Raw genomic sequence first — 17,675 nt, forward strand, 5'->3', positions numbered from 1 at the left:
TTGGGATTTAAAAGTTATTTAACAATAAAGCTTTAGGGAGACCCTAAGGGTTCTTCCAGGCTATAAAATATGTTCAATTGCCTTATAAGTTTGAAACAAATATTTTTCTTTATGGAGTGTTTGCTAGACTAAAGGATTTTTTCCCCTTATTTCAGGTTCACATGAGATATGAATCTCTGAGTCCATTTTTAGCCAGTGAACCACATGGACATCAGTGTTACCCCCAGAAGAGTTGGGCTTCAAAAGACTTAGAATGAACACAGACACATTTGAAGTTCCTGTGTGAGCTTTTCTGTTTTGTTTTGTTTTTTAAGCGGTGTGTTTTATCCTGGCTCTTAATAGTATTCAAAAGTTGCCAATAGGCTGGGCACAGCGGCTCACACCTATAATCCCAGCACCTTGGGAGGCTGAGGCAGGAGGATCACTTGAGCTTAGGAGTTTTGGACCAGACTGGGAAACATAGCAAGAACTTGTCTCTACTAAAAAAAAAAAAAAAAAAAAAAAAAAAAAATAGCCAGGCATGGTGGTGTACACCTGTAGTCCCAGCTACTCTGGAGGCTGAGGTGGGAGGATGGCTTGAACTGGGGAGCTCAAGCCTGCAGTGAGCTATGATTGCACCACTGCACTCCAACTTGGGCAACAGAATGAGACCCTGTCCAAAAAAAAAAATAGTTGCCAGTAGTAGTGATTGAAACAAAGCTGGACCCTGTATCAATCTACTAAAATGGAGGCAGGTTTTGTAAAAATAAAATACGTTCTAATTTCAGTGCTTTAGGAATGAAAGGAAGAAATAGAGAACGCGTTTCGTTGTGAAAAGGGCCTCCACCGTTGTCAGACTGCTATCAGGGAGCTGTTCCCGGGATACCGGGCAGGTGAGCACAGCAAGTGAAGGCACCCTGGCTGATCCTGCCTCTGCACGCCAGACGCAGTGCTTTCTTCAGTAGTCAGGCTCCGATTACAGAGAAACCTCATGAATTCAGGTTCAGCATATACGGAATTTGAGATCGTTCATGGAATCACCACGTATTAAAGCGGAGGGATCCGGGCAAGCACATTATCTGATTAGCCAGCATTTCACAGCTGGTACAGATGAGGAAACAGGGCTAAAGCTGTTTGAAGGATGCGTCTAAGGTAATACTGCAAGTCCCTGGGGAGAATCTTCTCCTCCCTGCCACCTCCCTACACCATATTCATGATCACTGACTGCTGTGGGTTAAACTGTGTCCCCTACAAAGATACGTTCAAGTTCTAACCTTTGGTATCTGTGACTGTGACCTTATTTGGAAACAGGGAACTAAATCAAGTTAAGATAAGGTCATACTGCAGGACAGGCCCTAATCGAATGACTGATGTTTTTGTAACAGAAGGGAAGTTTAGACACAGATATAGAGGAAAGAAGACCGTGTGGTGACAAAGGCAGAGATTAGAGTGACTCAGCTATGAGCCAAGCATTGCTGGCAACCGTCAGATGCTGAAACAGACAAGGGAGGATTCTCCTCTAGAGCAGGGGTCCCCAACCCCGGGGGCCACGGACATAATGGACCGCACAGCAGGAGGGTTGCACCGCAGCGGGTGAGCAAGCAAAGCTTCACCTGTATTTACAGCCGCTCCCCTTTACTCGCATTATAGCCCGAGCTCCGCCTCCTGTCAGATGAGCGGGGACATTAGAGTCTCATAGGAGCACGAACCCTATTGTGAACTAGGCATGTGAGGGATCTAGGTTGCAGCTCCTTATGAGAATCTAATGCCTCACGATCCGGCACTGTCTCCATCACCCCCAAATGGGACCATCTAGTTGCAGGAAAACAAGCTCGGGGCTCCCACTGTTTCTACATTATGGTGAGTTGTATAATTATTTCATTATATATTACAATGTAATCATAATATAAATGAAGCGCACAGTAAACGGAACGCACTTGAATCATCCTGAAACCATCCCCTGCTCAACCGCCATTAGAGAAATTGTCTTACATGAAACCAGTCCCTGGTGCCAAAAAGGTTGGGGACTGCTGGTTTAAGCCCCTAGTCTGTGGTAATTTGTTACAGCAGCTCTAGGAAGCTAATACAGTGACACTCACATACAATAGCATCAAAACCCTATCTATTCTAAGATCCTTTAGAGTAGCAAATGTCTCTAGTGAAGAGTCACAGCTAACCACAAACACATGCCACGAAAAGCAGGTTTGTTAAGCATTTGTCATTGCCTTGGGTGTCATACCTTACCTCACTGAATCCTCATAACAACACGATGATGTCTAATTCTCCCAGTTTTCGAGATGAAGAAATAGAGGTCTGAAGAACTTCAAGGAACTTTATAGAACTGATAAACTAGCACATGCTAAAGCTGGGAATCCAATCTGGGAAAGTGTACCCTGCAACCTATGCACTTAGCACTAGCTCAGGCCGGCTGCACATGGCAGGTCAGCCTGTGCACAGAATGTACATGGCAGGTCAGCCTGTGCACAGAATGTACCTGATTGTGCAAGATAGCAGCCCTGTACTGGCTGATGAGGATGCAGTGATGACAAACAAGCTAAGAGAAATTGTCAGACATGTCAGAGTCATTTAATATGCCACTAAAATGTCAGGCAGCAATCTGTATTAGTCTGTTTTCTGTTGCTTATAATAGAATACCCACATTTTATTAGTCTGTTTGGAGTCTCCTATGAATTTTATTTTTATTTTATTTTTATTTTTATTTTTTTTGAGACAGAGTCTTGCTCTGTCACCCAGGCTGGAGTGTAGTGGCTCGATCTCGGCTCATTGCAACCTCTGCTGCCTGGGGGTTCAAGCAGGTCTCCTGCCTCAGCCTCCTGAGTACTTGGGATTACAGGCGTACACCACCACGCCTGGCTAATGTTTGTATTTTTAGTAGAGATGGGGTTTCAGCATCTTGGCCAGGCTGGTCTTGAACTCCTGACCTCGTGATCCACCCGTCTCAGCCTCCCAAAGTGCTGGGATTACAGGCATGAGCCACCACACCCAGCCTTCTCTTGTGTCATTTTATAAAGGAATCAAATTTATTTATTACTGTTCTGGAGGCTGGGAAGTCCAGGGTCAAGGGGGTGCTTCTGGTGAGAGTCTTCTGGCTGGTGGGGACTCTGTGTAGAGTCCCGAGGTGGGTCAGAACATCACGTGGTGAGGGCTGAGCATGCTCAGGTACTAGTTCAGACCTCTGTTCCTCTTCTTGTAAATCCACCAGTCCCACTCCCATGATAATCCAGCAATCCATTGCTCCATGACTTGATTAATCCCTTCATGAGGGCAGAGCTCTCACGACCCAATCACCTCTTAAAGGCCCCACCCCTCAACACTGCCACACTGGGATTAAGTTTGAGCATGAGTTTCTGAGGGGACAAGCATTGAAGCCATACCACACTCTAAATATAATAGCTCACCTTCCTACCAAGTATTCCTCTGTATCCATCCTTCATGTTCATTCATTCTTTCTTATAATAAACACATGTAACATGCCTTCCTGTGCAAGCCACTCCCTCGGGGGCTTCAGTGGCCACTCAAAGAATAAAACAGTAACTTTGCCCTGATAAAGCTTATAGTGAAGTTATAGTCGAAGAGGTTAAAAAGACATTACTTCTTGCCTGCAAACGAGTCAGAAAACTTCCCTGTAGTTGCAGACTCTAGCCCTTGGATTTAGAATTTAGAATTTTTCTCTAAGTATTAAAAATGTAGTTTAGAAGGCCCAGGTACCAGAGGCCCACTAATTGAATGCTTTGAATTTCTTCTCACTCACTCAAAGGCATGCAGAAAGCAAGCTCAGAAACAGCAGACTCAAACAGAAGAGCGCATTTCTCAAACATGCTCCAAGGAAGATAAAATAAATGTGGCTTAATGATCTCCACAACCAGATTTTTGGGGCGAATGAGTGGAGTTTCAATAGGCACAAGAGGCACAAAAATCAGAAAAATAAAGATGCAGAAGACATGAAAGTTCATGGGATATTTGTTACAGCAGCTCTACGAAGCTAGTACAGTGACGTTCACATATAATAGCGTCAGAGAGCTCTGAAGTTCATGCAGTCAAAGTCCAGTGCATGCATGCATGTGGGTGTGTGTGTCTGTGTGTGTATGTGCACACACACATACTTGCACAGATGTGCACTCATTCATGGGGTCGTAGGGAGGAGTGTTTGTTGCTGACACTGGAAAGGTAGATGGATGAGCTGAGCTCAAGTGTTTACCAAAAAGGCATGTAGGCAGGACCTAAGCTTGTGGAGGAACAGCTTATGAGGTGGCCCCGGAGTCCTCATACAGAAAGTAGTTCTGCACTTTCAGCAGCACCCCCAGCCCTGGGTGAGGAGGGTAAGTTCATTCTATCTTAACCGCAGTTTCAGTAAAGAGGTGTGCAAAGAATATAAATGCCTTATTTTTAAACCACAGTTCTTTCTCCACTCCTGCTGCCGTCATCACTAATAGTCTGACCCGAACATAGAGAAGCTTCATGACTTTCACTGCCAAAAACATTTTTTTTTAAATTTTCAAAATTCCTCTAACTGGAGCAACAGTAGTTTCATTGAGTTCCATATGGAATTAAGATTCTCATGAAATTTTTTAATATAAAAAGGATTTTCTCTTTTCATATATACTTATTACAAACTTCCACAGAGACCTACCCAGCCCAAAGTTTACCTCTAAACTAGGAATTGGCCAATTTTTTCTGTGAAAAGTCAGACAGTCAGTATTTTAGGCTTTGCCAGCCATGCAGTCTCTGTCATACCAACTCTGCAGCTGCAGTATGAAAGCAGCCATTGACAATACATAAATAAATGAGTATGGCTGTGTTTTAATAAAACTTTATTTACAAAACAAGGCAGGGGCAGATTTAACCCCATAGTTTGCTGACTCTCTCTCTAGACCAACATAACCTTAGCCCTTTGCATTCAGAGAATGTATAATGCATTTTTGTAACTGGTCAATTTTAATTTTGTCTTACTGTTCAGTTTTCTCCTCATGCTGATTAATATTCAGATTAATAAATTATCATATGTTTTCGTATTATCATCAAATGCCTTGCATCCCTGGGGCAGTATTATATAAATTTGAATGCATTCAAAAGAATAGTTTTACCATTTAATTTTATTGCTTTTAATAATACACTTACAGTGTCTCTTTAGTTTAGAAAATTCTTTGTGGAGAATGTGGGTAGGCACCCAAAATGATTCCCCTAGCAACCCCCCAGGAGGACAAGAGAATAAAGACAGAGAGAGATAGCAGAGGGTCTCTTCGGCCTTGGCATTGTATTCTAAGATTGTATTTAAAGATTACTGGGAATTTTCTCTGCATTTTGAGCTAGAGGGTCACACATCTCATTATTCCACCCCACAAAATAATCCTAATCAGATACATCAAGAGCATGGTTACTATGCAGCTCCTAGAATCAAGATTCATGACTCAGAATCTCAGAACCAAAACATACCTCAGATAGAGGTGGCTCCAGTTAAATGTGAGCCCCTGTAAATAAAAGAAACAGAGAAGAAATATCATGCATGCAAAATTATGAATGCAAAATTAGGTATAAAACTGAATATTTATTTCTAAAGAGAAGAGAGATCTCAACAGATTATAAATGTTCGAAAGCTGAGGAATACTACAGCCATTTTCTTTCAAGTTACACTCTGGGTTTCCGCTAAGATACTTCCTTCCTGTCATGTTTAAATTTTTGATTGGTTCATAAGTATGAAAAAAAATTAACAATCTAAAATTAAAGAATGCACTAAATCAGAATACTTTTGTAATTGCTGTTACATTGTATAGAGTGACATAATTGTGTTATCAAGTTACTCTTAGTGCATGAGTTTTGTCACTGAAACTTCTTTTCTGATATTGTCCCTTGTTTTTTTCCGCTATTTTGCTGTGTTAGTGGCAATTTTGCATGCTGTTTCATCTGGAACCACTATGCTTTGTCAGGACAAGCTGTGTCAGATACACTAAAATTCAATCTGATATGTTGAAATGCATAAGAACATGCAACTTCACAAAAGGTTGTATCCATTTCCAGCACTGCTGCACACATGTTACCTACAAGCCCCAGAATTCTGATCAATTTTGTTTCAAAAGAGTCACGGAATAAAACTAAGTTGAAGTAGAAACAGACAGTGGTCTTCATAAATTGTGATTCAAAGATCTGCAAATTTACAGAAATGATTGTCCAATAAACACCTTGCTAGGGACTTACAAGGATCCTTTGCACGAGTGGGAGGTGGAAGTTTCCGTTTCATTTGCTTGACAGGAAACCTCCCTCTGACCTTAGAAGTTCTTTGGTTTGGGCTCCATATCAATCACAGATCTCTGGTGGCTAACCGACCTCTGTGATACTGAGTATATTACCTTCCAATGCAAGGCAGTCCATCTGTAGACATATTGAGTTACTACAGAATAATAGTATGTGCTAAATAGCAAATAGTAATAGTACATGCTACAATAAGGATATAATAATAATAGTATATCCTTATGCTAAACTAAACCCACCTTCTAATAACTATTAATATTATCTGGTGGTCCTAAGTCTCCTCTTTGACTGATAGATCTAATCACTCTTCCACAAGACAGTCATCCAAACATTTGAAGACAGTGGTCATGTCATTCACTGTCTTAATTTGGGTTCCCTAAAAAGCAGACTCTGTCTCAAGGAGCTGTTCAAATGCAAGTAGTTTGTGTGATAGGTGGTTCTAGGAAACATAGTAAAAGAAGGAGGGCATGGAGAGAAAAGAGAAGGCAGCTGATGAAGTGTGCGTGGTCAAGCCAGTTACCGATGCGGGCAACTGGAGCTCCATCCCACTGGGAAGTGCTGAGAAGCCACTGTAAAACGCATGCCTCTGAGTCATCCCACCTGAGGGACAAGGGAGCTGGGGATTTATGCACCAGCTCTCATTAGGTATTAGTTGAGGGCTGCTGTTGAGAAGCATTAATATAAGCTGGCAGATCGGGCTCCAGCTTCTAGAGAAAGCCCTCAAACAAAGACAGGCAGAGGTGACTGTTGGAAATCAGCCAGCCTGCACTGCAGTGGTAAGGTCCGAGGGGACATGGGCAGCACATTCTCCATCTGCCCTGGGGTCTTCTGGGGAATCTGCACATGGCACAGCCACAGGTCTCCATCCACGTCCATCAGATGGGCTTGGCTTTGTTTGTTTTGTTATTGTTTTTTTCCTCAGCACTGAACATGACACTCCATGTCTGGCCATGCCTTCCCAGTTCCCAAATTTCTGGTCCCAGAAAGTACATACACAACACAGAACAGACACCATTACTGATCAAGGGTAGAAGCAAACACAATCAGGTTCCACCACCAAGTGGCCAAGAGAATTTAATCAAACTGTGTGGGCATGGTGTGGCTCTGATGCAGCTTCTCTACTGGGACTCCTGAATGGCTTTTGCTAGAACCTTGCCCAGATAAGTCAATTGGGAAATTCCAATTTTTGTTTTAAACAAGCCAGACACATTCACTCTTTCCTAGTCGCCTTTCACCTAAAAGGAGGTTCTTCTTTAGTACCTTTATCAATCTGTTCTCACATTGCTATAAAGGAATACCTGAAATTGGGTAATATATAAAGAAAAAAAGGTTTAACTGGCTCATGGTTCTGCCTGTACAGGAAGCATGATGCTGGCATCTGCTCAGCTTCTGGGGAGGCCTCAGGAAACTTACAATCATGGCAGAAGGCAAAGGGGGAACAAGCGCTTCACATGGCTGGAACAGGAGGAAGGTGGGGGAGGTGCCACACACTTTTAAACAACCAGATCTAGTGATAACTCACTCACTCGCTATCACGAGAATAGCACCAAGGAGATGGTGCTGAGTCATTCATGAGAAACTGCCCCCATGATCCAACCACCTCCCACCAGGCCCCACCTCCAACACTGGGGATTACAATTTGACATGAGATTTGGGTGGGGACACAGATCCAAACCATATCAGTACCCTATTACATAAGCAAAGGGAGATCAATCCAAGGTTAAATGATGGAGAATAAATGAACACTTTTTCACATTAAATAATCAAAAATAGCTTTTTGCTACACAAGGATAGAATCTTTACTTTGATTCGTTACTGTAGTAGTTTTAAAATATGCCCACAAGTTCCTTGCTACTCCTGCCTTCAAAAGGTGGGGCTTAATTTCCCTCCCCTTGAGCATGGTTGTCCTTCAACAGAAGTGAGCATGTGAGATTCCTGAGAGGTCATAAAAGGCATTGTGACTTCCTTCTCACTCACTCTCTTGAATCACTCTCTTTCAGGAAAGCTGGCTGCCATGTTGTGAGACACTACAGCAATCCCATGGAGAAGTTCACATAGCAAGAAGCTCACATAGGTGAGGGCTTCAGCCAAGAGCAGTGTGAGTCAGGCACCATGAAGTCAGGTCCTCCCATCCCAACCTCCTCCTGAGAGATCCTAACCCAGAACCACTAAACCATCTGTGGATTCCTGACCTTCAAAACTGTGTGAGATAACAGATGTTTGGAGTTGTATGTGTGTGTGTGTGTGTGCGTTTTTAAGACACTATGTTTTGTAGTAATTTTTCTCACAGTAATAGATAACTAATACATTAAAAATGCATGCATGTGCAATCCCAGCACTGGGAGGCTGAGGTGGCCAGATCATGAGGTCAGGAGTTTGAGACCAGCCTGGCCAACATAGTGAAACCCCATCTCTACTAAAAATACAAAAAATTAGTTGGGCATGGCAGTGGGTGCCTGTAATCCCAGCTACTTGGGAGGTTGAGGCAGGAGAATGGCATGAACCCGGGAGGCGAAGGCTGCAGGAGCTGAGATGGCACCACTGCCCTCCAGCGCAGGTGATAGTGTGAGACTCTGTCTCAAAAGAAAATAAAAATAAAAATAAAAAAATAAAGCTTGCATGGCCAGTTGGCCTTGTGAGATCATCAAACATTATCAGCTCTTTACCTCAACATGGAAGAATTCTTTCTTGTGATTCTTTGACCCCAAACCTGTTTTCCTCTAGTTCTTAATGAAATTCTAAATTGTCTTGCGATAACTTTCCATTACCATTTCTTTAATTGCTTATGTTTTTGCGTAGCTCACGCCACCACAAATCTCAGCAATGTAAATGCCATCTAAGCCTTCTTATAGCTGTGCTACCAGGACTTAAATTCTATCAATGGATGGCTCTGCCACCTTTCCCTAAGAGGTCCAGAAGAAATCTTTTACTTGGAATGGGAGGCAGAGGCATTGGATGTCAGGGCAGGGCTTTATCTGGTTATGTTTTCATGAATTATCCGCTCTAGCTTTCTTTTCCCAGCCCCTTTCCCAAATGATTCTGTAACAACAATATGCAAAACCTACCTGATTTGGCCCCATGAGAGAATGCCTTTCTGTCTTTGGTGCCTTTTCAGCAAAACAGTCAGGAACAGCCCCAGCCAATCCCATTGACTCTGGCCAATTAGTGTTTCAGCAGAGAAGTATTGTTGACATAAGACATGGGTTCCTGTGCCTTCCAGACTACTATGGGGAAGTCATTAAACAGTAAATTAGGGCTCGGTGAAGAATTACCTTTTGGTCCATGATCTTGCTTTACTGACAACAGCCAATAGGCTTCCTGTTGTGGTGGACTGAACTTGCATTGTCTTCTTTTATCCGCAAACAATGGGAACAGCTGCAGTTGCAAGTTACTGCTTGCCAGAACTTATTTCTCTCATACCTGTTCAAACATCTATGAGCAGCAAAAAAGCTGATGGAAGGGAAAGGTTACTTTGCTGTCTTCAAATTATAGGTGACTAAAGAATTGAATTCGTGCTGACACCAGGATGGAATTAAGTATATTTTCTCCTACACTTATGTCAGAACTAGAGAGTAAAACACTGGTGGTCAATGTAAATATATTTGCTCCATGTTCTTAATTTTTTTTCTGCATTATTTGGAACTTCCACACAAATTAGAATGTGGCCCATCATAGTCATTGTACTGTAATCATCCTTCAAAAGAAATGCATGTTTTACCTGGTAATACAAGTTCTCAGAGTGAGTCAGTGAGTCCATGAGTATCTCAGCTGGTGAATCTCCATCTCTGATCCTGGCCACTTAGCTGCCCAAAGGTTGATAAATCATCTGACAGCTTACAAAGCTCCACACACTCCCCTACACCAGCACCCAGTTTGATCCTTTTCCATTTGGATGCTTATCTGTGGGTCTTTCTTGCCTTCTCAATTCACATTTTAATTGAGATTTTATAAGCAAAGCCAAATTGATGCTTTTATTCCCATCTCTTCCATTGTTCTGTAATTATGAGTTGGGTCCAAGACAATTCAGAATCTTGTGCCAATCCCCAAATTATTCCAAATTGCTTATTTTGGGGATAAGTATTAGAAAGTCTGGCACACAGTAGGCATTCAATAAGTGTGTATAGAATCCTAGTACATATGCATGGCTTTTTTATTCAGGCAATTTTTATTTTCAGTAGAAATAGAAGCAAGATGGCATGTGATACATGGACTCGAGATCTCTTTGATAACAGGGGGCACTAAACGGAATTTCTAGAAGGTGCAGAGTTCTCCCGGCTTCCTGATTAACACATCTTCTCCCACTCTTAGTTGATATCTCCAAATATCCATAGATCATGGAATAAACATGCTGGAGCTCACAATTATTTGATCAATGAGGATATACAATTCCATAATCTATCTAAGACTTGTTACTCCCAGAGCTATGAAGGCCTTTATAATTACACATTCTGATACGGACATGGTACTAGTGTGATAGGTTGGCCCTAGGGGTTTTCTTTCTTATTTTTTTGGGACAGAGTCTCACTCTGTTGCCCAGGCTGGAGTGAAGTGGCGTGATCTCAGCTCACTGCAAGCTCCGCCTCCCGGGCTCTAACGATTCTCCTGCCTCAGCCTCCCGAGCAGCTGGGACTACAGGCACATGCCACCACGCCCAGCTAATTTTTTGTATTTTTAGTAGAGATGGGGTTTCACCGTGTTAGCCAGGATGGTCTCGATCTCCTGACCTCGTGATCTGCCTGCCTCGGCCTCCCAAAGTGCTAGGATTACAGGCATGAGCCACTGCGCCCGGCCAGGGTTTTCTTTTACAAAAATGAAAGAAAAAGGAGAAGGAGAAAAAAGAGAGGAGGGGGGCCCTTCAACCCCCAAAGCCAGCATATTCGTATGAGCATGTAGGAACAAAAAGATGAGGTGCACAAACTAAACTTTTAAAAATTCCATCCTGGGAGTGGTCATTTTTTCATGAAATGAATCCTTCCCATCTCCTTATTCCGGTGAAGAAATGAGAAGATTGATGAAAGCACCTTTCTTTCAAAAGTTCTCCCTGTCAGTTCAGAGCAAGGAAAATTAAAATACCAAACAAATTCATCCATCATGATATGCCTCTTGTCTCCTTTTCATCTTTCTTCTTCTCAGATTACTCATCACTCAGTCACCTTGTTTTCACTCCCCATCTGATGGTGGGCCCGATTATAATACTTAACACTTGCTATATCTAAAGATACTGGTGTTTTAGTACTTAATATTTGCTGTATGCGTAGGATCTCAAAGAACTTCATGAATATTAATCAGGGGCCTCAAGCTATTTCAGAAATTAGAATAGGTAAGGAAAGTGAGCTTTAGAAAATCAAGCAGGCAACTGCTACCTGCTAGCAAAAACTCAAGGGTTTCGTCTGGACACTGGGGCTCCCCATGACATCTAGCTATTGGCTGCATGACCCTAGCAAGGGTATCAGTCAGTATAAGTTAGGCTATGCTGTGGTAACAAAATACTCCCAGACCTCACTGGTTTATAACTACAACAGGTTATTTCTCACTCACGCCACGTGTCTGTCACAGGGTAGCAGTGGCTTTGCACCCCATCATCCTCACCCTCAGACCTAGGCTGTTGGAGAAGTCTCTGTCCCAGACCTGCCTAGTTGTGTGGCAGAGGGAAGAGAACACACAGAAAATAACATGCCGACTCTTCAAGCTTCTTCCCAGAAGAAGCCCACGTTATTCCACTCAGTCTGTGGGCCAGAGCAAGTCCAATGGCCCTGTCAATGAGACACATCATCCTCTCACAAGGATAGGCAGCAACTACTGGGAGTGTTATACAACCTATCATAAGAGAACTCCATTTTCCCCACTTGTGAAAAAGTTTGGCTTATGTTACTTCTTATATAAAGCCTGTGATGTAATAATTCCAAAAGCTACTTGGCAGTGAAGTAGAGCAGTATTATTATAATTATAGTTCATACCTGCCGGCTATAAGCACCATAAATTCAGTGTTCCCTTGTAAAAGCAACAGGCAGTGTTAGAAAAGCTTTCTTGTTCAAGTCATGGTCAATCTAGATTTTCTGAAAGATGCCTACCAGCAGTGACCAATATGCCTTCCACCTCAAAATTCTATGATACTATAACACAAAAGAGGTCAGCAAAATCTGAGAACTCTGTGAACATATTCTAGCCACGTTTTTCTTTAAAATGTATCTACTTCATAATTATCTTAAAATTTCAAAATACTAACATTGTAACTCTTTTAATTCTCTAGCCAGAAGTCTTTGCCCCTGAAATCACCCTATCTAGAAGGAAGTCTTAAAACCATAGCCAATATTGGCTTGTGCAAGGAAAATCCATGGGTTTCTGGTTCTCACTTAAATTGTATTGTGAGAATCATATTTATCTGGTTATGCTACTATAAAATGGGACACTGAGCATTAAGGTCATAATCCTTTACAAAAAATTGCTGGGGAAAGAAAGGTGATTAAAAGTTACCGATGAAAGATTTATGTATTACAGGTTCAGAATGCCTTATCTGAACTCCTGGGAGCCAGATAAATTTCAGAACTCATAACCTGCAGGTTTCTGAAAGGTAATACAATGCACATACCATTATTATTTAACACCTCCATTGAGGTATGAGGCTGGGCCCATAAGCGAATATATTAAATACCCCAGCATCAAAAATGTGTCAATGTGCACATAAGCATAAAAAATAAGACAATACACAACTTTATTCGTGTTTAGATTTGATTTTTTTTTCCGAATGAATTTGCTGCAAGCTTATAATGAAATTCTGGGTTTTAAAAGCTTTGAGGATTTTGAAACTATGGATAAGGGACTGTGGACTTTTGTTTTATTTAGTACTTAAAATATTCCTATGAAGTAGTTCTCAGCATGTATTAAGTGAAAAGAAGCAAGGTGGAGAGAAGTATGGATCATATCTTAGAAGAGGAGGAGAAATAAATATTTGTTTATATTTTAAAAATTTGCTTATACTGAAAAAATTGAAAGATAAACCAAAAACTGAAACAATGGGAGCACAGGGAATAGGGTGGAGAAGGCTGAGATAAAAGCTGGCTTTTTCTGAATACACCTTGACTGCACCCCACACTTTAATTTTAAAAAACACGCAACCCTTAAAAATCTAAAGCAAAGTACAGAAAGTGAATGGGCTCATTGGGAGAATCAAGCCAGCAGTGTGCCCATACAGAAAGGGATGACTTCAATGAGTCCGAAACACCAAATCCAAATGGACATCCTTACAAAATACAACCTAAACACAAGAAGAACTATTACAAAATTAAAACGTTTTTGGTTATCACATCATTGGTGGTAATGCCGCAATCATTATTCCCCTAGTGTTTTCTGTATTTTTTTAGATAAAGCAAATGAGTAAATATATTGGTTTGAGATGGGTGCCAGAATTTTTTGCAACAAAAAAGGTGATGCAGAGGTATTATTGGAAAAGTTTTTAAAAGCCTGAGAACCTGAATTTGTGTTGGAAGTATCAGTATGAAGTTAACCAAATTGAAAGGAGAATATTCCTAAGTAAAAAAGAAAAAAGGAGAGGGGAAACCTATGGTCAAAAGAGAAGTAATAAACATGTAAGCCAATTATCTATACACGGATTTTCTTGCTTTGTCCATTGAGAAAGCCTTTGAAACAAGAACCAACTTCAAAGCAATGAGCACTGGAAAACAATGTAATGATAGCCTCTAAATGCACCTTCCATCAATAACAGCATGGATCATTGGTGATACAGCTGATTCCAAGTGTGGGATGGGAAGTGTTTAACATCAGCCTGGAACTCTTCTCATTCCAAAAGACAGGCAGTTATCAAAGACCACTGGTGTTATGTCAAAGGGAGTCAAGAGGCAGCTTGCAGAAGCTCCCAGTGGCCAAAAATAGAACAATTTCAATATCAATAAGAAAAATAATTACAATGGATTGAAACAAATGGCATATGTTTAAACCTATGAAACGAACCCACTGGTCACTTTCAGAGAATGCTAACACCAACACAATAGTTTTGAAAACAGGTAAATAAAAGGAAAGAATTAAGTATTTAGCCTACCTTTCCTGTACAGACTGTCTCTCTGAGATACCAAATAGTAGATGAGGAGACATTTCTCTTTACAGAAAAAATTATCAAGCTAATAAATGAAGAAGGAATGGTAGAATTAGAATACCATTTTCTTGCAATCCCTAATTAAATAATAAATGTAGCTATTGCTCATCAAATGCTACTACCATAAGAAAAAAGAAGATAATTGAATATTGCCTTCTTTGTGGTGGAAGTCACAAAAAATAGAACTTGAATCCACACAAGCCTCTATATTTTATTACCAATTTATAGCAAATATAGGACCAGAGAAAGATACAAAATGACATCATAGGGATGCAATAGGCCACAACTTGTGTATTAAGCATGTATTTTTCTATTCTGATGGTTTGATACCCGGGGCCTTACTGACCAAGAGGGATTGCCTGTTCCAGGGCCACACAGTTCCTAGAGATAATAAACCACCTGTTCTCAAGCATGCATCATGCATTTCGTATGCAAAGCAACAATCCAAAGCCATACCTACCTCCTCCCACAACACGCCTACAACCCCTGTTGAGCTTTTACACTCCAGACCAATACTCTCCTGCCCTAATAACCCCAAGCCCAGATACCAGACCACCGGAGACAGTCCTTATACTGCAGGACCCGGTGAAATTATTCCAATTATCTGACTCTAAATTTGTTTACCCTATCTTGCCTTTCCCATGGAAACCACAGTAAAAACTCTTGCCCCGTTTTTTTCACACTGTCTGCCTTCTGACTGACCCTGACACTTCCCTATAAGCCCCTCAGTGGCATTGTGTGGCCACTTCCTCTTGGGAACTGTGAGTAACAGACTATCTTCAAAACCCATCCTCTCCTGATCTGTTGCCTAACCATCCCTGAATAATAATATCACCTACATTTTTAAATCCCCTGGGCTCTTACTGACCAAGGAAGACTGCCTGTCTCAGGACTACCCAATTCCTAGAGATCATAAGCAACTCTTGACTGACTGTGGGAAACTCTACAAGACAAACAACAAATTGCAAGGGAATTTACCTCAATAAAAAGGAAGAAATAGCAAGGTGATAGAATGAGAGGGAGGGAGAATCTGTGATTAAAAGAGCCATGCAAAGCCGGGCATGGTGGTTCACCCAACCATATAATCCCAACACTTTGGGAGGCAGAGGTGGGAGGATCGCTTGAGTCCAGTTCAAGGCCAGCCTGGGCAACATAGTGAGACTTCGTCCCTATAAATAATTTTTAAATAATTAGCCAGGCATGGTTGCACACATCTGTGGTCCCAGCTACTTGGGAGGCTGATGTGAGAGGATTACTTGAGCCCAGAAGGTCAAGCTTACAGTGACCCATGATTGTACCACCTGCACTCCAGCCTGGGTGTCAGAGCAAGACCCTGTCTCAGTCATAGTAAGAAACATATTGGCCAGTTGCAATGTAGAGACTTTATTTTACTGCTGATTTGAACCAACTATTAAAACTATTATGACACTGTTGGGGAAATTTGAACACTGACTTGATAGCTTATATTTGATATTATGGAATTACTAATCATTTTTTTAGGTGTGACAAAGGCACTGTGGTTACAGTTTTTAAAAACAGACCTTATCTTTTAGAGGTTCCAACTAAAATAATTATTAATTAAATGACACGATACCTGTAATTTACTTTGCAATAATCTGGGGTTGGGAGATGAGTTAAAGTGGAGAAAAGATAAGATGGGCTGAAAGTAATAGGTGTTAACCCAGGGTTATGAATACACAGGTGCTTACGATATATACTATTATATATACTATTCTGATGAATTTTTTAGATTTCTGAAAATTTTCATAACAAAAAATAAAAACAAAATCAGAAACTTCTTTGAAGATTGTGTTACCTGCCCCAATTTTTTAGAAAAGATAAGTGAACTCAGAATGACTACCGAATCTGCCCAACTGCTAGGAAGTGGTGGAGCCAGAATTCAAATCCAGGTATGTCTGACCACCCAAACTCCTTGCATCATGAAGTCAAAAGGGAGGCCACCTCTGGAGGCTGTTCCTCTGGGCTTGTTCACAAGAGATAATTGCATCTTCTTTATTCCCAGAAGGCACTAGACAGGAGCAAGGTGAACCTTTGGGCTTGTTGCAACCACAACCTAAGCAACAGAGACTTCCCTGATGGGTTTCAAACTCCCCGTAAACACCCAATGCTGCCCTGCAGAAAGCACACCGGGAAGTATACATACAAATGAACCCTGATACCTTGAGCATGCACAGACGTGCTCCAAGATATTTTCGAAACTTTCTCTTTTCTAGTAGCTTTGAGCGAAACCTAACTTTTAACTTTCAGCTTATGAACCACATAAATCGCACCATTTTTGCCTGCATTTTGGATTCCAAATACCACATCTTGGCCTGACCGCACACCCGCCTCTCCTTATTCATCAGACTTTCCCCTAAATGGCTTTTCACTGCTTGCAAAAACTCAAATCTAATATTAATAATAGCCGAAATAAAAAACCCACAATGCCTTCCACTTATTTAGGGCTAGGAATTGCATGAAGCACTTTAGAAATACTATCCCCTTTAATCCTCAGAATAACCCTTCAAAGGATGAAGATTTGCCGGTATTGAGACTGTTCAAAGAGAGAGCTCTGGGAAAGGGATTAAGGTGGTCCCAAGATTTGAATTAACCTTAGCCTTGACAAAAGATTTAGTAGCCTGGACACTAAGAGTCTTCGAACAATTTACAAACCAATTCTTTAAGTATCACTTTGTCCTGTCATCTGTGACTTTTGAGAGCATCGTCAAAGAGAAAGACTAGGAAATATAAACAATCTGTTCTTTCCAATCTGCTCCCCAACAATGATCAAGGGGCAGCCAATAATTATTTTCTTTTTCTGAATCCTCCATTTTTCACAGAGGATTGCATAGAATTTGTTTAGTATCTCACAGTATCTAAAATGACTTAGGAAAACCAATATACTCAGAGCGTGCAAGCCCTTCCTGAATTTGTCTTTTGGATTTCTTCTGCATGGAACAGAATTGTGAAGACATGAAGATGCAATTCTTTATATCTCCTAATTTATCTTCTTTTCTCCTAATTTTTCTTCCCCTCAGCTCTCATATCAGGCCCGCTTATGGTGTTTGCCACTAATTTTAACTCCAACATCAAATTTCCACCTGAACATATGGACTATAAACATCTCAGCAGCCACAGGGCAGAGTGAGCACTGCTCTCTGCTACAAGAATTTCACCTTCTGCAGACTAAATTTAGAAAGTGATCAAAATCTTGAAAGGGTTAGGGAGTGCTCAGATTCAATTTCCTCATTATAGTCTTTAAACTGCTTCCTAGTTCTGGTGCATTAAATCCTGGGTCTGGAGAAAAATATTTGCCTCC

At 41.2% G+C, this 17,675-nt stretch overlaps 1 annotated feature.

Annotated features, from left to right (window-relative positions):
• Window positions 9,280-9,574: a silencer, noted in NCBI's record as "tiled region #15585; HepG2 Repressive non-DNase unmatched - State 24:Quies". NCBI's record gives its function as "represses a minimal TATA promoter and a strong SV40 promoter by Sharpr-MPRA in HepG2 cells {active_cell/tissue: HepG2}" and the evidence as "EXISTENCE:reporter gene assay evidence [ECO:0000049][PMID:27701403]".

This window comes from Homo sapiens, chromosome 18 (assembly GCF_000001405.40).
Source record: "Homo sapiens chromosome 18, GRCh38.p14 Primary Assembly".
In the NCBI taxonomy this organism is placed as follows: domain Eukaryota; kingdom Metazoa; phylum Chordata; class Mammalia; order Primates; family Hominidae; genus Homo; species Homo sapiens.